Source organism: Homo sapiens, chromosome 10, assembly GCF_000001405.40.
Source record: "Homo sapiens chromosome 10, GRCh38.p14 Primary Assembly".
Classification (NCBI taxonomy): domain Eukaryota; kingdom Metazoa; phylum Chordata; class Mammalia; order Primates; family Hominidae; genus Homo; species Homo sapiens.
The window spans coordinates 108,849,560-108,873,611 of NC_000010.11; the positions used below are offsets into that span (position 1 = coordinate 108,849,560).

The following is a 24,052-nucleotide window of genomic DNA, read 5'->3' on the forward strand; positions in this document are numbered from 1 at the left end:
AATTAATGACAATTTGAAAAAATATTTTTTAAAAAATATGAAAAAATATTCCCTAAATGAATTTTATATATTTTATTACATTTTGATACAGTTTAATAATGCTATATATGTAAATACAGAAATCATTGGTAGTAAAGTATTAAGAAAAACTCACTTCCTAGAAATATTATGTTAGAACTGCTTATTCTTATGTTCATAAGGCAGTAGATGGTATTACCCAACAAGGTTCTTCAGTAATAAAGTAAATAAACCAACTATGAACAGTAAGCAAGAAACCAAGTATAGTGACATTTCTGCTTAATAAGCACTTAAATTTTTAAAAAGTCACCCCGAGTTTCACAACCTGACTATAACCACTGTGGACATTTTGAACATTCTTTCAGACATCATTCGGAAACTGTATGTATCTATAAAATGTACATCTGCAATTTTATACACAGAGAATACTGCAATTGCACCTGCTGTTTGGTGGTCTGGTCCTTTTCAATTAATAATATATTATGGACATACTTTGAAGTTACTACATGAACTTATATGTCTTTAGTTTTAATGGCTATATAATCTTGCATTGATTTTCTTAACTCAGCTTTCCTCTACAAAGCTCCTACTCAGGAAATTTTAGGTTCTTCTCAGTTTTCTGGAATTGTGAAGTATAATAAGTGGAATATCCTTTTATATATGCCATCATACATTTAGTTATTCCTCTGGAAAAGAGATTAATCAGTTTTTGCACAAAGTGCAAAATCTGTTGCTTGAAAAGCACTGAACTGTGAATCAGGAAACCTAAAGTCTAGAGCTAGTTTTCATTTCTTTCACTTCCTCTTTTCTGTCTCAGTATGCATGAAAGAAAATAAGAGAATAAGAAAGATGTCTAAGACTCTTCTAAGCTTTAAACTTCAACTCAACAAGTAAAAATATTCTTAAAAGTAACATATTAAAAACCATTTATATCTGGTTTTATCATGTATTTGTATGAAATTATAAATTTTAATCCATTGATTTAATCAAATACTTTTATTTATTCTCTCATAGGCTCTGTATGTTTGTCTAAATGATGGATGAAAGTCAGAATATATATTTTGTAGTTATTTGCATGTGAAAACCTTAGCAGAGGATGTGGCATGTAAACCACAAACTACTTCCAGTCTTAGATTTTGTTAGGATTTTAGTAACATGATAGATTTTTTAAATACATAAACATAAACATTTCCTATTTTGTCACAAACAACACTACAAGGGTATTAAACTATACACAGACCTTCGGCAGGTAGTTGAAGTCTGAAAAGGATTTGAAAGGTGATCTCAATTATTTTCATAGCATCTCTTGATGATGAGGTACAAATGGTTGGGATTATTCTTACCTCCGTTTTACAGATGAGAAAACTAAGGAACAGGAATGGAGAAACTTGTCCAAGATTGTGCGGCAAGCCAATGTCAGAGACTCTTGGTTGAACTCAACATTCAACTTCCTGATCCAGGACATTAGCTGCCAGCATCAAACATCAGAGAAATCTTAATATCAGTGACATCTACTTGCTGTAGTAGAGGCACAGGTTATTATAGCATCAAATGACATACTATGTTATAAATTTCCAAACTTTACTTTTAATGTTAATACATATTATTGATTATGGAGCATAGACATAGACCATTTATAATATATTGAAAGCCTAAAAACTCATACCATTTATTATGATAAATGTATTTGTATAAATCGGAATTTATGTTGCATATATATTACAAATACAATAAATATTTATGAACATAGAATGCTTAGAAGAGCAAAAACCCCAAGACCCACAGGGCATCATGGGTTACAATATTTTAAAATGGAGATATGATACACAATCCTTAAAAATCAAGATCTAGGCTGGGCGCGGTGGCTCACGCCTGTAATCCCAGCACTTTGGGAGGCTGAGGTGGGTGAATCACCAGAGGTCAGGAGTTCAAGACCAGCCTGGCCAACATGGTGAAACCCCATCTCTACTAAAAATACAAAAATCAGATGGGCGTGATGGCACACGCCTATAATCCCAGCTACTCAGGAGGCTGAGGCAGGAAAATCACTTGAACCCAGGAGGCGGAGGTTGCAGTGAGCTGAGATCGTGTCACTTCACTTCAGTCTGGGTGACAAAGCGAGGCTCCGTCTCAAAAAATAAAAATAAATGAAAATCAAGATTTAGAATAATATTTAATAACAAAAATATTTGTGCAATATTAAGTGAGAAAACAACTTACAAATAGTGGACATTGTAGAATACCAATTTTATAAAATCTAGCTCTAGATAAAGCACCTAGGGATATTCCTAGAACAAAAATGAAGAGTCTACAGAGGAAAAACGATTATTGAGGATTTCCTTCATATATGTATATGAGATATATATATCACATATTTATGATCTTTTTTCTGAATTTTCCATATTTTTACTTTAAATCATTGATCCTGATTATATTCAGTACAAATAATAAGAACATACACCAAATTCTATTTTCCTGACTGTGAATAATTATTGGTATCTTAAATCGATTTTGAAATTAATTACCACTTAGCTAATTGCTTCATATCAGTATCCAAATTCAAGACATATTTTTCTAAAACAGAATCACACTAAAATAAGTTGCTTATCTTGACAACTTTTCTAGTCTCAGATCCTAAGATAAAAATGGCTGCTCCCTCACAGATCTCCTTCCATGTGGCAATGGCATCAGGTTGAAATATTGAGCAAGAGCAATTCCTGAAGCATAATTTACGTACCACAGTCAGTGAGGATTTCCATAGGTCTTCAATACCGCAAAAGATCCCTAGCCTCTGTGCTCAGTACAACCCAAAAATTTCCCTTTGTGGTTTCATCTTTACTGCATTAAACATGCCCACTCTCTACCCGAGACTTAAACTGAAAGTGAAGCTAACTGAATTTCAGGTCATAGCGCTTCTAATTATGGTTTGTCACAATTCTTATATTTTGTAATTATAATATCATTATCAGGAACAAGAGGTCCCTTAGAGAAGAGTGGAGGCACTTACAGTTCAATATCAGTTTGTTCCTCAAATATAGATGGTTGGACTTCCGCTGGGTTTTGCGCCCCTAAGAATGCAATTATTCTCCAGTATTATTTTGTCTGTTTCCCAAGAAGTGTTTAATGAGCTATATAACTGTTCTTAAATACAATACCTCAATTTATTTTTTTATTAATTAACCAAGGGATTTGTCACTCCTGAGTACGAATTCTCTTACTGACCAGAATCTTCAATTTAATTATTTTCTTTAAGGAAGAGCAGAGTTCTCAGTCATTCTCTCTACATTCATTCCACATCTCTGTACTGATTTTACCTTCTCTTTCTGATGTATAAAACAGCAAAGCAACTAAGAACTTGCTGAAATGTGATTCTCTTGGCAGCCATCTTTGCATTATTACCCAAAATAAGTTCCATCCTTTCTCATCATAAGCATCACAACTACTTCAACTACTCCTCAGCTATTAGCAGAACTCTGGGGAGGTGTTATGGCTTCACACATCTTGAAGAATTTTAAGTTTAGTGAAAACTGAAAATGACCAGCCAGATGAGAAACCTAGAAATCTTTTGATATGGTATTTCACTAGAGAGTCAAGGTATTTTTAGAAAAAAAGATCTGGCAAAGACAAAGCAATAGTATCAATAGCTGAAGATTTACAGGAAGATCATTTGAGTCAAAATGAAATATTAAATCAATTAATTCAACCATTGTGCCACACAGCAAATAGATCTGCTCCATGCACTTGGCAAACCTGAGACAATAATTAGAGTAAAACAAATATTGACTTCCTCTAAGAAGAATTTGTTTCAAACCCAGAAATTTAAAAAAAGTAGACATATATCACCCCATCCTTAAAAACTTTCCATCAAAGGCAGGAAATATATGTCAGCAAGGGTATAGTAGAGCTTTTTAGCTGGGATGCGTTGTTGAATTTCATGACCTCTATGACCCATCTAAAATTCTAAAATTAAGAACTTTTCAGTGAAAAGCTTCTCATGTCTCCTTTCATAAAACCAAAGTATTTGAGAACTAGCTAGAAGATGATCCATAGAAGACCAATCTTCTGTATTTCTGCAGACGTGAGTGGCCCTCAGAGAGTGTAGGACATATTTAACCTGTATCTATATTAGAAATCTTACATCCAGGAGATGCTGTAGTATTAGAATAATGTATAGAGGACTAGATTAGGAATCAGGAGGCTGAATTCACTACTTATTGGAGAGCTGGATGACATTTTAATAAATTACTTCTCTGAACTTCAGTTTCCTCAATGTGGTTCTGAGGATAATAGTATCTGCCTGGCTTTCTTCCAAAGATCATGGTTAAGTACTTTCAAAGCCATCAAATAGTACAAAAATGCAAAAGAAAGTAATCACATGACTTTTCTGAAAATTGAGTTGAAGGGACATTTAACGTGGGACTACTACTAAATTCATATTCAAAGAGCTATCTCCCAAAAAAGCAACAATATCAATTTATATCCCAAATAATTGATGCAGCTTATAAAATCACAACATGCTTGACTCATAGTCCACAGAATCTTCCAGTGACACTTGACACAATTGTTTTTACAAAATGAATAAAAAAGCCATGATGTTGTTGGTTTGCACCCTGAAGTTTCCTTTCCAACATCTGCGAAAATAATAAACCAATTAATTATGAAACCATCTGGAACAAAATATTTTTTAAACCTCTCCCTGAATAATTGGCACTATAATAGATGACATGTCAGAACAATATTAACAAAACCATTCTCATTAAAGAAAGAAGGAAAAGAATTTGTATGAAGAAAATAATAACTGCTTGTAATCAAAGTGGGGTCACATGCTGATCCACAGCTGAGATAGGCTGAGCATCCATCGTTATGCATATTTGAGACACAAGCTGAGATTCTCAGCTGGTGCATTACTTAGTGACCTTGGGCAAGACATTCACTCCTACAGGACACTATCCTCTTCAATAAAAACATGAATTTTTAACTATCAGCCCATACTACAGAGCCACAAAATAAATGAAGAAATCCAAGAAAATGTTAGTTGCAAGGCTTTACCCAAGTTATTCATCTAGTTTGAGAAAATAGAAAAAATTCAAAACCTACCACTCACAATCTGTTACTGATACTCTCAGGGTATCTTCTAACCATCTTATCTACTTTGTATGAATAGCAAGATAGTAAAATATGGTAACTAAGAATAAAGTAAATCTGCTTTGAATTATAAATCTCAAAATTACTGTATAATCTTGATCTTGCTAGCTGTTGACATTTCTAATACTCCATTATTCATTTGAAAGTTGAAAATTATTGCAGTAAAATATTCAAAGACTTATATGAGAATTAAAATAATTCATATAACCCTTGTGCCTTTTTCTCTTTTTCCCTTGTGCCTTTTAAGCATGTAAAACATTTAAGCAGAAATACTTGCCATAAAATATTAATCATCTTAATTTTTAATTATTTTCTTATAAAATTATAATAAAACAATTTTTTCTCCTCTTTTGACATCCTTTCTTAAAATTTGTTAAATTTAGAAATCAATTTTCTAATCAAATTTAAAAATCCTATAAAAACTGGAAAGTTATCAATAATTACATTTAAGCAAAATAAAACACATAAAAACAAAATATCTATATACTTTTATTAGGTTAGCAAGAAAATCTCATTATAAGAAAATATTTGTGCCAGACTTGGCTCTGCTACTCAAATGCCCTCATCTCTTTGTAAATTACTTAAATTTTCTCATTGTATCATTTTAAACATGGAAAAACTATGTACTTTTCTCAAATAATGGTCATCAAAATCAAAGACCTATACTATCTTTGGATTCTTTTTTTTTTTTTTTTTTTTTGAGATGGAGTTTTCCTCTTTCACCCAGGCTGGAGTGCAGTGGCACAATCTCAGCTCACCACAACCTCCGCCTTCTGCTTTCAAGCGATTCTCCCGCCTCAGCCCCCTGAGTAGCCGGGATTACAGGTGACCGCCACCACACCTGGCTCATTTTTGTATTTTTAGTAGAGACGGAGTTTCACCATGTTGGCCAGGCTGGTCTCGAACTCCTGACCCTGTGATCCACCCGCCTCGGCCTCCCAAAGTGCTGGCATTACAGACGTGATCCACTGGATTCTATTTAATCTGTATCAAGATCATAGTCACATTTTTAAATTAGAAATAGAAAAAACAATCCTAAAATTCTGCTCTATGAAGAAATGTTTACATATCCAACATAGTTAGAAGATAAAAGACATCAAACAATTATATAATCAAATATAACAATGTAAAACATGTATTGTCTGGAAAAGATGTAAAAATTAAACCAGTTGCATAATAGTTGTAGAGTTTTATATTATAAAATCTTAATAAGCATAAACTAATGTCTTAATGCATTTCTTTTTAACTTTATGTTTTTAAATATAGGCATAGGAATTTACCAAACTAGTACATACAGTCCTTCCCATATTTCCTCAAAGGTAACATCTTATGTAACTATGATACAATATCAAAAATGGAAAATTAACATTGATACAATACCGTTAACTAAACTGCAGACTCCTTTACTTTGCCATGCCACTAGTGATGTATGAGAGTTTCAGTTGCTTTACATCCTTGTCAACATTTGGATTCCCCTGTCTTTTTAAATTTTAGCAATTCTGATGAGTGGTATAGAGTGGTCTCACGGTGGTTTAATCTGCATTTCCCTAATGACTATTGATGTTCAGCATCTTCTCACGTGCTTATTTGCCATTTTTATATTTTCGTAGATGAAGTGGCTAAATATTATGCCCCCTTTTTAATTTTTAGAAGTTAATTGTTAAACTTTTATACAACTGTTTAGATTTACAAGAATATTGCAATGATATTACAAAGTTCCCATGTATCACAAGGCCAATTATACCTATTGTTAACATCTTACATTGGTATAATACATGTGTCACAATGAATTAACTAATATTGATATATTAATAACTAAAGTCTATATTTTATTGAGATTTTCTTGCTGCTCGCCTGATGTCTTTTTTATTGTTTCAGGTTTCCAATAAAGATAATACATTACATTTAGTTGTCATGTCTCCTTAGGTTTCTCTTGGCTACGAAAGTTTTTCAGACTTGCCTTGTTTTTGTTGGCCTGGAAAATTCCGAAGAGTACTTATCATGTGTCTTGTCAAATGTCCTTCTATTGAAATTTCTCTGATCTATTTCTTATTATTAGACTGAAGTTACAAATTTCAGGCTGTCACAGAAGTACTATATTGATCACATAACATATATATAATATTATACTATTGACATGACTTCTTACTGTTAATGCTGACATTGATCCCTTGACCAAGGTAGTATTGGTCAGGATTTTTCACTGTAAATTTATACTTTGTTTTCTCATTTCCATACTGTACTCTTTAGAAATAAGCTACCACGTGCAGCCCACATGGAGTGGGATGGTATGCTTTATCTCTTGAGAGTATAGTACTTACATAAACTATTTGGAAATCTTTGCCATAATAAGTTATTTTTATTATGAAATATTATTTATAATAATAATTATAAAATTTTATTCATTCATTCGTTTACATCACTATAGATTAATGGATATTCATTTTATACTTTGGATTATATTTCAATACCACTTTATTTTATTTTTCACATTGGTCCACTTTGGCCCTTGGAAGCTCTTTCATTAGGCTCCTGTGCCCCTTTGACACACTCCCATCAGTGTATTTTTGTTTAAGAATTTTCTTAATTTCTGGCACCACATAATACTCAAGGCTTATCCTGTACATTTCCTGACCATGTCCTATAATTAGCCATTCCTCTAACTAACATTTTAATGGGAAAATGGTATTTTATTATTATTATTATTATACTTTAAGTTTTAGGGTACATGTGCACAATGTGCAGGTTAGTTATACATGTATACATGTGCCATGCCGGTGTGCTGCACCCATTAACTCGTCATTTAGCATTAGGTGTATCTCCTAAAGCTATCCCTCGCCCCACTCCCCACCCCACAACAGTCCCAAGAGTGTGATGTTCCCCTTCCCGTGACCATGTGTTCTCATTGTTCAATTCCCACCTATGAGCGAGAATATGTGGTGTTTGGTTTTCTGTTCTTGCGATAGTTTACTGAGAATGATGATTTCCAATTTCATCCATGTCCCTACAAAGGACATGAACTCATCATTTTTTATGGCCGTATAGTATTCCATGGTGTATATGTGCCACATTTGCTTAATCCAATCCATCATTGTTGGACATTTGGATTGGTTCCAAGTCTTTGCTATTGTGAATAGTGCCGTGATAAACATACGTGTGCATGTGTCTTTATAGCAGCATGATTTGTAGTCCTTTGGGTATATACCCAGTAATGGGATGGCTGGGTCAAATGGTATTTCTAGTTCTAGATCCCTGAGGAATCGCCACACTGTCTTCCACAATGGTTGAACTAGTTTACAGTCCCACCAACAGTGTAAAAGTGTTCCTATTTCTTCACATCCTCTCCAGCACCTGTTGTTTCCTGACTTTTTAATGATTGCCATTCTAACTGGTGTGAGATGGTATCTCATTGTAGTTTTGATTTGCATTTCTCTGATGGCCAGTGATGGTGAGCATTTTTTCATGTGTTTTTTGGCTGCATAAATGTCTTCTTTTGAGAAGTGTCTGTCATGTCCTTTGCCCACTTTTTGATGGGGTTGTTTTTTTCTTGTAAATTTGTTTGAGTTCATTGTAGATTCTGGATATTAGCCCTTTGTCAGATGAGTGGATTGCGAAAATTTTCTCCCATTGTGTAGGTTGCCTGTTCACTCTGATGGTAGTTTATTTTGCTGTGCAGAAGCTCTTTAGTTTAATTAGATCCCATTTGTCAATTTTGGCTTTTGTTGCCATTGCTTTTGGTGTTTTAGACATGAAGTCCTTGCCCATGCCTATGTCCTGAATGGTAATGCCTAGGTTTTCTTCTAGGGTTTTTATGGTTTTAGGTCAAACGTTTAAGTCTTTAATCCATCTCGAATTAATTTTTGTATAAGGTGTAAGGAAGGGATCCAGTTTCAGCCTTCTACATATGGCTAGCCCGTTTTCCCAGCACCATTTACTAAATAGGGAATCCTTTCCCCATTGCTTGTTTTTCTCAGGTTTTTCAAAGATCAGACAGTTGTAGATATGCGGCATTATTTCTGAGAGCTCTGTTCTGTTCCATTGATCTATATCTCTGTTTTGGTACCAGTACCATGCTGTTTTGGTTACTGTAGCCTTGTAGTATAGTTTGAAGTCAGGTAGCGTGATGGAAGTCAGTGTGGCGATTCCTCAGGGATCTAGAACTAGAAATACCATTTGACCCAGCCATCCCATTACTGGGTATATACCCAAAGGACTATAAATCATGCTGCTATAAAGACACATGCACACGTATGTTTATCACGGCACTATTCACAATAGCAAAGACTTGGAACCAACCCAAATGTCCAACAATGATAGACTGGATTAAGAAAATGTGGCACATATACACCATGGAATACTATACAGCCATCAAAAATGATGAGTTCATGTCCTTTGTAGGGACATGGATGAAATTGGAAATCATCATTCTCAGTAAACTATCGCAAGGACAAAAAACCAAACACCACATATTCTCACTCATAGGTGGCAACTGAACAATGAGAACACATGGTCACAGGAAGGGGAACATCCCACTCTGGGGACTGTTGTGGGGTGGGGGGAGGGGCGAGGGATAGCTTTAGGAGATATACCTAATGCTAAATGACGAGTTATTGGGTGCAGCACACCAGCAGGGCACATGTATACATATGTAACTAACCTGCACATTGTGAACGTGTACCCTAAAACTTAAAGTATAATAATAATAAAATAAAATAAAAAGAAAATTACAGTACAAAAAAAAAAGACAACACCTCTGTTGCTGTAAATCTCTCTGTCCAACTGTCATAAAACATCTCATGTATCTTTGGGTTTACTTACAGAAGAAAGAGAAGAGAAGAGAAGATGGGAGAAAGGGAGGGAGGAAAGAAAGAAAATGAAAGAAAGAGAGGCAGGAAAGGAAGGGAGAAATAAAGAGAAAGAAAGAAAAAATTAACTTTTTTTTTCTAGAGTAAATGTGAAAATGATGCTTTTTCCTCTGCTTTTCCTGAAGTCTCTGTGCAATTGTATCAGAAAATAAAGAGCGATTATCTACTTTTGATTTCACAGAAGTATTTTACTCTTGGTTCTGAGAAGTTTGGGTTTGAATTTATGGACATACATGTTTTATAATTTTTGTCCAACGCAAAAACAAAAATCAGTAATGCAGCACTGATCAAAGTGGCTAAAGTAGTGTAAAAGAAACACATTCTGCAGGTATTAAAAATACATATAAAAGTGAGAATAGTTATTATGGTGCTTTGCAACTATGTGGTAGTAAAAATATTGTATTATTCATAGGTAGACATTTTATTTTTCACTTACTTTGCAGAGCTGATGACATTTGGAAGACACTAAGCTTCCTGAGGCTGGTGGATCTGATAGTTGGAGGTCTTAGGCTTCTAGAGCACCCTGGCTGTTTCTCTAATTTATAAGCTTATAAGCAATGGCCTACTTGCCAAAAATATTTAAAGCGGTTTACAGCACACTTGCTTTTCTACCAAGGCGGTGTTTTGCATGATCCTACGTCTTTTAGAAAACCTGAAGCTGGCCCTATTCATCCCATGAAAGTGCACCTGATGGTCTAGGGTTAGTGAGGGATGAGATGGAGGCAGAGATCATCAGATTACTATTTTGAATGTAAAAATGTATAACAACTAGCAGCTGAATCACTGCACATTTGCATCAACCTCAAAACTTCCAAAATGATAGGCACATTCCAGGCCGGTCATTCTCAAATGTCTGTGTTCCAAGATCGCCTGGGAGCTTGTAAAAAATATAGGTGCCCCAAGCCTAGTCCCCAAAGTTTTCATTCAGGGACCTTGAATGACAACCAGAATTCTCAGTGTTTAACAAACACCTGATGTGCATCTGATGAACTAGAGTCCCATTTTGAGAAGTACTAACAGTGTTCTCTGACTGGTAGGTTAATACCTTTCACATGACTTGTTGATTTTAATCCATTGATCCCATGACACACACCCCCCTCCCCCCCGCCACCATTCTCCTTAAATTAATTTGCTTAGTCTATTGCGTGTGGCTAAATTGGCCCCACCTGTAAAGGTCACTGTACAAGAATACAGAGACCTGTAACTGCCCCCTACACCCTCAGCCATTCAGTAATAGCAATGGAAAGAGAAGCAGACATGGCAGAGATAAAGGGAGATTTCAATTAACCACCACAGAATATTTATAAACATTCGTATTACAACTCCTCTCTTTACTAGTTGAAGAATTTGATGTTCAGAGAGCTCAACTAATTAAGTCAAGGACACACAAATGGGATAGGAAAGACAGCAAAATGAGGAAGGGAGATTATTGCAAACTGGACATTTGTCAAGTCTCAGTTTGAGGGGGCCATTATAGATGTTAAGAAATCATTATTCCCTGAGGGGTCAAAGTTGGCCAATAGCTGACAGTGCTAAATAGTGTGGCTTTGAAAAGAAAATGGTAGTATTTGTTACTAAATCACAAATGAAAGCAACTAAAATGTGAACCTAAGAGGCTGGATTCATCTACTTAAAAAACCCTACCAAAGGGGTGTGTGTGCGCGCACACATTTGTCTATATCTACATGCATATGCGATAAATCTCCAGGCAAAGAGATTACTATCTTTTCCTAACAGAGAACAGCTGAGATGATGCTGATCAAAGGCTGGTACCAGACATGCAGCCTCAATAATTAAAGTTTCCATTTATAACCTTGCTTCTAAGAGAATACAGGTTGATTATAAGTTTCTCAAGTCAAATAAATTAGCTTCACATAATTCTAATTTCCAGGCTCCAGTCCCTCTCAAACCTATCTCTCCCAGCCATCTTGAAGCTAGTGTATAAGATTACCTTGCGTAGTCTGACTGGGAATTGGAATCACGTGTTCTCAGTCAGATGGAGAAATGTAGCCCAGTGTGTTCAGGCATCTCAACCATAAAATATTGCTGGCATTATGCCATCAGCATGAACATAAAATAGCATTTCATAAATTTCAACTTTCATCTCTATGTAAATTTAGCCAATGTATTTAAAAGAATAATTTATGAATATATTATAATGTTTGTCTATAAAGGCTTTTAAAAATTGTGTTTTAAATTATGGTTCAGAAGCACATTATTTCATTTTATAAAACCCAGTAATTGGCTGCATGTGGAGCTACAGAACAGAGATCCATTTCCCATTTAAAGAAAATTGTAACCACTAAAACCTTTCTAAGCTAAAAACCTAAAAAGGGGGTGATGCTGAGCATAAAGGTACCAGAATTGAAATGTAATTTAAAATATAAAATGATTCTGAAAATGCACATTTTAAAAATTATTACATAATTGAGTAATATAAAATATAAAACCAATAATGATTGAAATGCTGATATTTATTCAGAATTGAGTTATATTCTAAGCATCACGCCAATGATCTTATTATTTCCCTCGTCATGATCTAGCACACTCTACAACATACAGTATATAAATTTAAGAGTACATTTATGATGATGGAAACACACATTTCATCATGCTTCTTTTAAAGGATATAGACTTTGTATCAGTCAGGGTTGTCCAGAGAAACACAACCAATACGATGTGTTTGTAGTGACCATGGGAGCTGGCAGTTCTGAAATCCGTAGGTCTGGCCGGCAGCCTGGAAACTCTGGCAGGATTTCTGTTTTAGAGCCTTGAGGCAGAATTTATTCTCTGGGTAACCTCACTTTTGCCCTTAAGGTATTCTGCTGATTTGATGAGGCTTACCCATATTATCAAAGATAATTTCCCCTTTACTATAGTCAACTAAGATAGATTGAATTACATCAACACAAAATTTAAAACTAATAGCTAGTATTTGACCAAATAACTGAGCACAATAGTCTAGCCAATTTGACACACACACAAAATTAATCATCGCAGACTTTGAAGGGGGAAAAAATGCCTCATGTTGAAAACTATTGGGGGTGGAAAGCTTCTGGGACAAATATGCTCCAATATTTTTATAATTTAACAAAATAGAAGCTTAATTTTTATTCTTATAACAGCCCTATGTGTTATTCTAGGTTGATGATTTATTCTTTCTGCACATGGATATTTAAAGATCTAAGTTCCTTTCATCCTTGGCTTCCACATTCCCACAGGGCCTCTTTGTCCTCTGTGGTCAGCAAACTATATAGGAAAGATAATGTTGAATGTGCACAGTCACTTCTTCAAAGCTTTGCCGCAGAAGCTACAAGCATTATTTCCACTCACATTTCAATGGCAAGAAGTAATCACATAGCCATCCTTAGAAGCAAGTGGGCTGGGCAATGTGATTGGTACCTAGACAGTCCATTTTTTTGCAAAATCTCTCTACTCTGAAAGGAATACACATTTTGTTAGCCATCTATACACCTAAGACAGAAAGGGGATCTCAGGACATCTAAACATCAGAAAATTGTTTACAAATGAGACTCTGTGTCATCATCACTGTGTCTAGGGAGTTTATTTTAAAATGCATATTCCTGTGGCTCTTGACTCATGAATCAACATTTAGGAAGTCTGTGGTAGGGTCTACAAATGAGATCACCCTGACACAGCCGAACCAGGCCACTTAATTCAAATCCTTCATCTACCTATAAGTGGGGGCATAGACTATGTCTTGCATGGATACTTATCTTTGAACACAAATACAGTCAAACGTACTGATCATATAAATCCTACTCTGTCTCCAGAAATATTCATTTTAACAAATTTCCCAGATGATTATATTAACTAATTTTTATTGAGCATAGAAGATGTAAGTACTTTCTAGAAGTGTCATATGAATTACCTCATTTGTTCTGCACAGAAACATTACAAGTTAGCTATAATTAACCAAATTTTATGAATGGGAAAATTGAGGCACCAAAATATTAAATTAAATGAAAAAGTTATACTGGCAGATGGCAGAGATGGGATTTAAACCCAGGTAGTGTGACTCCAAAGCCTGCATCTTTCCTAGCACCCGATATCTAGGTAATCCTGAAACACTTTGTCTAAAATACATTGAGTAAAGGAAAGCAATGAAGAAGGTTGAGATTGTACAAGATTTTTGTTGAGAATCTCTGTAGTATATAACATGTTCTTTACTCTTCCTCTCTCACTTAAATCATCCAAACAAGCCCTCTGAATCCCAACTCTGTAACTCCTCTTCTGATTGTTTTAAAAGCACATGTTATATCCTAAAACAAACAGATAATCTTTCTCTGAAAATTGTCTTTTTCCAGTGTTACACATCAAAACAAATGGTTACAACTCCCACAGGTATTACAAGCTTCTCATCTGGGAATCATGTTCAACACATTTTTCACCAACTTTCTCCACCATGTCAATCCAACAATAAATTAGTCTAACAATTTATCTCCAAAATCCTCCTTAAAACCATGCATTCTCCATTTCCACTATCAATTCCCAAGTCTACGTCATCATCACATTGCTTTGGCAACTGCAAACGATTCCAACTGGACTCTAACTCTCCCACCTGCCAATCTATTCATTATGTTGTAGCAAAAGTGATCTTTCTAGCATGTAATACCTAAAGCCCTAAATTCTTAACGTTTATTGGCAAACTCTCTATGTGCCGGCCTTGCCTGTTAATCAGTCTTGCCTGTCAACCCTCCATTTGCCAGTCTTCCAATCAGACCACGCTTCTCATCTTTCCAACTTTAAGCCATCTCCTTTGATGTTAACATCTTTGTATGCAGGCCTCTCTGCCTACAGTTCTCCCTTGCCCTGGTCTGAATGTTGTTTCCCCCCAAAAGTCAAATGTTGCAACCTAATCACCAATGTGATAGTATTGGGAGGTGATTAGATCATGAAGACTGTCTCATAAATGGGATCAATGCCCTTATAAAAGAGGCTCCAGATGACTACCTTGACTATTCTGCCATATTAGGAACACAGAATGCACCATCTGTGAACCAGGAAGTGAACCCTAACCAGAAAATAAAACTGCTGGTGTCTCAGTCTTAGATTTCCCAGCTTCTAGAACTGTGAGAAGCAAGTATCTGTTGTTTACAAGCCACCATCTATGGCATCCTGTTATAACAGCCACAAGGGATGAAGACACCCTTTAATTCAATCTGGATGGTTACTTAAATACTCCAAATGTCATCATCTATAAAATTGGACTTAAATGCCACCAATTGGGAGTGATTAGTTTAAAAATGAAATAAAATCTGTGGTTGGTATATAAAAGGTTTTCAATGATTTTTTTCCTGATACGTTCCAGCTTTTTAAATGCTATCCAACACAGATATAAAATATATATCAATTTGCTTGTTTCTCTAATCATGATTTTATTAAATCACTAAGTTAGAAAGAACATTTAAATAATTTATTTACCTTTATTCAGAAATTTATTAAAATCACAGTGCATCTTTATCTGAAGGAGGCTCGTAGCAGTTTAAAATTACCGTCAAATTAATACTATCTTTAAGCATTGTATCTTTTCCAAATAAAGGTCCTGAACTCCTATCATTTTCAACACAATTGCTTTGTTATGGAATCATTAATAAAATATGCACATCTTTGTAGGCCCTGACATGAAAAAAACAAGTTTCAAATAAGTGAACAGGTTAAAAAATATATTAACTACTGTCTAATTTGAAAGAGCAAATGGCAGCATTCAAATATTTTAAAATGAATTGAACTTTTGTATTAGTATAACAATTGGAAGCATAACCAAATTCTTATTGAGGTAAGATCAATCTTAACCATACACATTGTTAAGAAAATTGGCTTACTGAAGAATCAAAGACATAGTATGTAAGAAATATCCATCTCTGAGTACACCCAACTTGGTAAAGCAAGGAGGTAGAATATTGGAAGAATAGTGTAGACTTGTGAAAAGAGAAAAAGAAGATACTGAAGATAATCAAACAACAAAAGTAATGACAACAATTGTGTTATTTATGCTAAGTTTAAATGATTGGATGTTAGCTGATTTTAGAAAAATCAAAACAAATGATTTTGTTTATGATACTAATAATTGGAAGAATTGAGTTTTCTTTTTAAATTAGCTTCAAGAAATTATAATTATTAAAACACAGTACTTAATAGTATATTAAATTCCTTTGGGGGAGTCTTTGTAATTCTCAATTGCGTCAACTAGGAAGTGTTTAGATGGGTGGAATTATAATTTTAGTGGAGAGAACTGTATACAGATGATGGAGACAAAGGATAGAGCATCAGTCATGATTTCTACAGTACCATGTCTAAGACACAGGGCTTTAGACTGAGATAGATATAGGTTCAATTTCACAACTTACACTTCAAGGCTGTGCGAATTTCACCAATTATGTAATTTTTCTAAGCCTTGATTTCTTCAGCTGGAAAATAAAGATAATGTTACCTATTAATTTGTTTATTTTGAATATCAAATAAGGTTATCATGTAATGTGGCAGAACCAGAATTACTACTGGGGTCCAATGCCAGAACCCCTAGTCGTAAAAGGATGATGCTACACCCACCTTTCCAGTCTACCTACATGATTTGAATGCATGCAAGTGTGCTTGGCACATAGTAAGTACTCAGTAAAGGTGAGTAGAGGCAGAAATACCATTGAACTCAGCAATCCCATTACTGGGTATATACCTAAAGGAATACAAATCATTCTATCATAATCCAGAATAATTTTACATTTGTGGCATTTGATCAAAATTGATCAAGACAAGAAATACCCAACTTTGGTCTAGCATGTCACCTTCAGAGATTGAAAACTGCATGTGAGATCCAGGAGGAAGTCAGATGAGGCTTGGAAAAGAAGAAAATAATTGGTGTGAACATCAGCAAGTTACCCATTTCCCGGAGGCACTTGCAGAGGTAACGTGGTATGTTATAAGCTTCAGTTTTATTTTTTGTCTTTTTATTGCTTTACTCATCCCAAGCAAATGTCAGCCTCTCAAACTAGCACTTCTATAGGGAGTTAAAGTAGCTTGCCCTATGATAAAGGCTTCCAATTCATCTGGTCCTGGGAAGAAGTCTATGGTTTACAAGTCAATCTCACATTTTATACTAATTGAAAAAGTTTTACCCCTACATTTTTGAGAAACTATATTTTATATATGCTAGAGGAGATCATTATTTTAAAAGGTTAAAAGAACTTCTGCACAGCAAAAGAAACTATCAATAAACAGACATACTCCAGAATGGGATAAAATTTTGCAAATTATGCATTAAAGACCTAATATTCAGCATCTATAAGGAACTGAAATTTACAAGAGAAAAACAACCCCATTAAAATGTGTGCAAAGGACATGAACAGCCACTTCTCAAAAGAAGACATACATGGTGGCCAACAAGCATATAACAAAAAGCTCAACATCACTAATCATTAGAGAAATGCAAATCAAAACCACAATGAAATACCATCTCACACCAGTCAGAATGGTAATTATTAAAAAGTCAAAAATAACAGATTCAGGTGACATTGTGGAGAAAAAGGAATATTTTTACACGTTGGTGGGAGTGTAAATGAGTTCAACCATTGTGGAAGAAAGTGTGGTGATTCCTCAAAGACCTAGAGGCAGAGATACCTTTCAACCCAGCAATCCCATTACTGGGTATATACCGAAAGGAAAAGAAATCATTCTATCATAAAAACATATGCACATGGATGTTCATCGCAGCACTATCCAAAGAAGCAAAGGCATGGAATCAACCTAAATGCCCATCAATGGTAGACTGGATAAAGAAAATGTGGCACATATACACCACGAAATATTATGCAGCCATAAAAAAGCACGACATCATGTCCTTTGCAGAAACATACATGTAGCTGAGGGCCAATATCCTTAGCAAACTTACACAGGAACAGAAAACCAAATACCACATGCTCTCACTTTGAAGTGGAAGCTAAATGACAAGAACAACATGGACACATCCAGGGGAATGACAGACACCAGGACCTATCAGAGGGTGGAAGGTAGGAAGAGGGAGAGGATCAGAAATAATAACTAATTGGTATTACGCTTAATACCTGGGTGACAAAATAATCTGTACAACAAACCCCCATGACATGAGTTTACCTATATAACAAACCTGCATGTGTACCCATGAACTCAAAATAAAAGTTAAATAAATAATCCTCAGATAAAACATTTTTTTTAAAGCAACCAAAGTTTTATTAAAAAGTACACATGGGCTATTGTCCATTTGGTTGACTGCTATATTTCCACTATCTGGTACAGTTTGGCACATGCAGAAACATGTCACAAATGTTTGTACAATGAATGAATGAATATATTTGTTTAATGGTGATCACGATAGTGTCTACCTCACATATTTGTCATAAGATGCACTGAGATAATGCACAACACATCTCATGATGTATGGATAAAAAATAAGAGAAGGTCTAATTACACATGAAGGCAAATGCAATGTGCTATGCAGAATAATGTACAATGGGGTCATGTCGTGTGATTATTTTTTTGCATCAGTTATGACTTAGGGAAACATATTCTCCTTAGCAAATTAGCCCCCTCTCTCTTGTATCTCATTTCTAGGAACCTCTCGTGGCTGTAAAAAGGGTGAGGCTAGAACTGTGAAGGACATGGACAATTAACATTTTCCTGAAGAGAAAGAAGAGGAGGATGAAGGAAAGGGGAGATTCAAACAGAAATGAGGAAAAGAAATTGCCCCAGGGAGAGAGACTTTGAAAATATCCTGAGACTCTTGCCTGTTCTGTCTTCTTAATAAGTTTATTTGAGCCCCTTTGATTTTTCAAAGACATAAAGGGACCTGCAATGATAGACTGAGGTAGTCTAAACAATTGAGAAATTTTAATCTTCATTTTTACTCAATTAAATTAATGGGAAACTGCCCCCCTTGCCAACCTATTAGCACCTGACAATAAAGTTATTAACAGAGGCTTGACAGTTGATTATTCTCCTTGAAGGAAACTAACCTGCTCACATTTCATTTTTAGGTTGAGTGCTGATTAGCCTTTCAACTGAATCTTGACCTTGTAAGCCTGAGCTGTTTAAAACTGTCTGAAAAGGAGAAGAGTTGGATACAGACCTCTAGGATAATGCATAGGAAAAGAGGAAGGCCTGTTCCATTTTGAGATGAATGTGTGAGGCTGCTATGGGTCGAGCAAGACCAGATACACAAGAAAATATTGCAACGGGGAAAGTGATGCTGGCAGGAGGCTATCAGCCACTGCAGGCCGGAAACAAACAAAAAAACTGCATCTGGGGAGGCCTGTGAAGATATATGAGTCAAGGGTACACATTACATCCCAACAGGTAACATCTTAAGGAAAATGAGTCCTGTGTCCTCTCAAGGCCAAAGAATGTGGAATATTAATACTGATATTCATTATAAGGTACAGACACATTACTCCCCAGTATGTACTGCTTTCCCTATGTACTGCTGAGAAGGTGTGGGTGGACAGAGTGTGGGTGGCTTGAATATTTAAAGCCAGACAGAGGGCATGGATAGTGTAAGTGCTATTAACGAAGGCAGGTTTTATTCCAGTTTTATAGAAAAAAAAAAGTACACCATTGAGAAGAAACAAAGGAAATAAGAGACACCAAACTTAAATTTCAACAGAAAAACTCAGTGATTTGAACCATGTGAAAGTTTACTTAGTATCTGTGGGCCTCTAATTTATTTTCCCTTACTTTCTAATAGTAATACAAAGACTTTTGTAGGGAATGTGTAACTACAGAAAATAGAAATAAATGTTAAATAGTCTATAAGCTCACAGCATAAAGATGACTGTTATATTTCCTCCTAGTTCTTATCCTATGAATATATACGTGACTATTCCCCCATGGCATGATTCTTTATACATAATCTGGTATTCTAATTTATTCTGAATGATATTACATATCAGATATTTTCACATATAATTAAGATTCTTCAAAACCACAATTTCTAATGGTTGTACAATGATCCATTATATACGTGTAGCATCATATATTTAACTATTTTCATATTTTAAAATAATTACATTGTTTCTTATGTTTCACTATTATATAGCATACCAAGGTAGTCAACTTAAACAGCTTCCATTTCCTTGGGCAAGATGTGAGTTAAAGCTACTCTTTGAAGATTATGATGGTTTCCCATTTCCAAAAATTATTTGATACTCCTCCCATGAATTGGTGGAGACTATGTATCCTTTCCTTAAAATAGGTGGCCCTTTGTGACTGCCTTGATTAATGGAATTTTAGTGGGCGGGGAGTGATTATAATAACTTTTAAGGATATGTGAGCAAAGACCCAGAAGCTCCTTCCAGTGATGGTTAAGAAATCTTCCTCCACCAAATAAGAAGTCAACCCATATTAAGGCTGCCACATGGAAATATCATACAGAGATAACAAAGAGGGGTGAGGGGCGGGGAAAGAGGGAGGTGGGGGAGAGGGAGACAGAGGGTGATAGAAAGGGAAAGTGACCCAAGGATCTCCAGAGATTCTACCACTAGCTGTTTGAATACCAGCCTGGTGCCAGAGATGTGAGTGAAGAAGTCCTTGGGATGAACCTAGTTTCTACATCATTTGCATGAAACCGCAAAACTGATCCCAAGTGAGAACTGCCTATAGGAGTCCAGTCAGTCTCCAAATTCATGAATCTACTATGTTGTGGTATGTTTTTTTCCCCTGCTTAATAATAGACAGCCAGAACAGATTAATGGGGTGCTGTTAAAAAACCTAAAATATGTCATAGTAGCTGTGACATTGGATGGTGGGCAGAGTTTAAAAGAGACCTGAAAAGACTGTTAGTGAAAGCCCATTGGCCCCAAATCATATAGGTGGCTTGTCAGCTATGAGGGATTAAAGTAAAGTAAGGATAAAGTTATTGGGAGCTGGATGTAAGGATAGCTTTGTATGTACCAGCAGTAAAATAATCAATACTGCTGACTGCTTTGATGTAAAAGAAATATAAAATATATATAATGAACCAGTGGATTTGGCTAACAAGATTTCAAGGCAAAACATCAAAAGTAACAATTAGTTTCTTTCTTTTAACTACCTAAGATAAAAATCAAGAGATGGATTAAATAAGGAACTCTTAATTAGAAATTAAAAATGTGCAGGGAACATAAAGGATTGAGGTAGCTCTAGGTCTAAAGACAGTGGAGCACAGTGGCTCATGCCTATAATCCCAGCATGTTGAGAGGCCAAGGTGAGAGGATTGCTTGAGGCCAGGAGTTTGAGACCAGTCTGGACAACATAGTGTGGTCCCATCTCTACTAAAACATTTAAAAATTAGCTGGGTAGTGTGATACACACGTGGGGACCCAGCTACTTGGAAGGCTAAAGTGGGAGGATCACTTGAGCCTGGGAGATCGAAGCTACCGTGAGCTGTGATTGTACCACTGCACTTCGTCCTAGGTGACAGAGACCCTGTCTAAAATAACTAATAAGTAATTAAAAAAAAAACATTTATTGTTTTCAGTCTTGTAGATGGATGATTCTCAAAGTTAAAAGAGGGTCCCAAGTCGAAGATCAAATTCAGGTAGGAGTAAATTTTGTAATTAAGAATTCAGAAATATCTAAGCATTGCCAAATTGACCTTGTCAAAGTACAAAAGACATTCAATCATCAGGGCATCCTCTTTGATCTTCTCATATAGACAAGGAAATTTCAAATCTCAGGGCTTTGTCCCACTGAAGCCTTAGAGAAAGCCCAGGGTAGACAAGTGATTAAATCAACAAGATCTGTGAGCGTGCTTTTGTTCTGATAAAGTGGATTTCAATAATATTCGTAGAAAACACAGACATTTCTTAAGAGAACTATTCTGACAAAAACAGCATTGTTCTTAAAGAAACATACACAATAAAAAATTAAAAGAAGACTTTAGACACCCAAATTAGCATGAAACAGGTCGACAAAAGTCCATAGCTACAAACTCTAGATACTTCTTTTTGAAAACAAGGAATAATGCAGAGGACAGGATGAGGAGTCCAGAGAGCTGACTCTGGGGCAGTGGAAAATTATTCCCAAGTTATGGAGCTAATTCCTAATCAAGGACTTGATTGGTCTAATTTCAGAATTATGAAGGAACAGTGATCGCTGTATTTCTTCCCTTTTCAAAATTTCTGAAGTGTGTCTGTAGTGGTTATCTCATGCCAGTTCCACATTGTATTATTGAGCATGGTTGGGGGGACAGTAGCTTGTCTTTAGTTCCCAAGACTTGAGGCTGAGAAGAACGGCACTCAAAATCCTACCCAATGCATGAGCTTTGAGAAGCTCCCTCTACACCTGCATCTGGTTTATGATTAGATGTTTATGATGATAGATACTACACCTTCAGTCTGATGCTGTAATAGATGACATTTTTTGGTATCTTAGAAAATAGTGAATACATTTTGCGTTTGGGAGGAACGTAATGCGTTTGGGAGGAATATAAATAATTTTGGCAAGGGGACAGTCTTTGGTGGTTTTTAAACATCAGTAAACTGTGGCACTCTTCCCATCAGAAGGTGGATTCCCTTTAACTTGAATAGCTTTTGGGAATGGCTAGATGAATAGAATGTGGCAAAGGTGATGTCGCATGACTCTGAGGCTAGGTTAGAAAAACCAAATTGCCTCTGCTGGTATTCACTCTAGAATGTTCAACTATCATGTAAAAATTCAGTCTATCCTGAGGCTGCCATGTGCAAAGACAAGTGAGAGGTAAGGGAAGGAGGAGGGGGAGAGGAGAACAGCACCCATCTGTCTGAGTCTTCCTAACGCAGTTGTATCAAAATGACTGAAGAAGGCTTTAATGCGACCCTGGGGTCATTGCCTGACTATAATCTAAAGAGAAATCCTGCACCCAGTTGAGCCTCATTAACCCTCATACTTATGAGCAAAATACATGATTGCTATTATTTTAAGCACCCATGATGGGGAGGTTTGTTATGCAAGAAAAGGAGTTTAATGATACAGTGTTATTTAATACAGAAGACATGACATATGGTGCATATTGCAGTTACTTGACCCCTCTTTTGTGGAGTATAAGCAATTAAGAGTTAGAAACAGTTTCTAGAAACCTTTAATTTGATCCTTCTTCCTTTATATATCACCCTAGACAAAAGTGTGACCACGTCCCTCCAGGTGACCACTGTAGAAGAATCTACAACGTTTCCTGGAAGTAAAGGTTTCTGGTTGTAAGGTCTCTCTGGATTTATTACTTTTTCATCCACTTAATTTAACATGAATGTACTGAGCCCCTGCTACATATTCAGGATTATGCTTGATTGATGGTAAGATAAATATAGTGTTCACTTTCAAGGAAGTTTTGGAAATTATATGGCCAGTGCAAGAGCTGCCTCTCCTTAGTACTTCACCTAATTTACGTTTCTAGAGCCACTGTCACCTTTAACAACCTCCTTTTCTCTACTTGTGAGTGTGTATACCTTTGAATGTGTGAATATACTGCGAAATAGAAAGTGAAACATTCATTGAGTTTTCTAATAGTCCCTGTGTTAAGGAGGTTGTATGATTATCTCATTTTAATTATCTCCACAACCCTATGAGTAAGGTATTATTTTCATCCCTATTTATAGACAGTAAAATGAGTGAGGCCCCAAATGGTTAAATAAATGCCCAAGATCATGCAACTCTTACAAGTCAGATTTGGGCATTAAACCTGAGTCAGACTGACTCCAATGCTTACGTTTCTGATAAGAGACTGGAATCAATCTCTCTCAACCTCATTTTGCTCATGTGTGTAATAGAACTAATAACAATAAGATCTTCACTGGATTTCTACAAAGTCTTGCAGTTTAGTGGAGGCAGACAGACCTCAGTTTAATCCTCACACCTACTACTTACCACCTATCAAACGTTAGCAAATTTAATATCCTTAAATCTCCATATCATTATTAGTAAGGTAAATAGAACAATGTCACCTTTATTAGTGGTTACTGTCATGACTTAATGAGGAAATGGAAGCACACTTATCTTGGGATCCGACACATGGTATGTTT

At 35.7% G+C, this 24,052-nt stretch overlaps 1 annotated feature.

Moving 5' to 3' along the window:
* Positions 20,110-20,279: an enhancer, noted in NCBI's record as "experimental_9822 CRE fragment used in MPRA reporter constructs". NCBI's record gives its function as "activates a minimal promoter by MPRAs in K562 erythroleukemia cells, with activity observed for the introgressed 10:110629512 variant allele {active_cell/tissue: K562}" and the evidence as "EXISTENCE:reporter gene assay evidence [ECO:0000049][PMID:34662402]".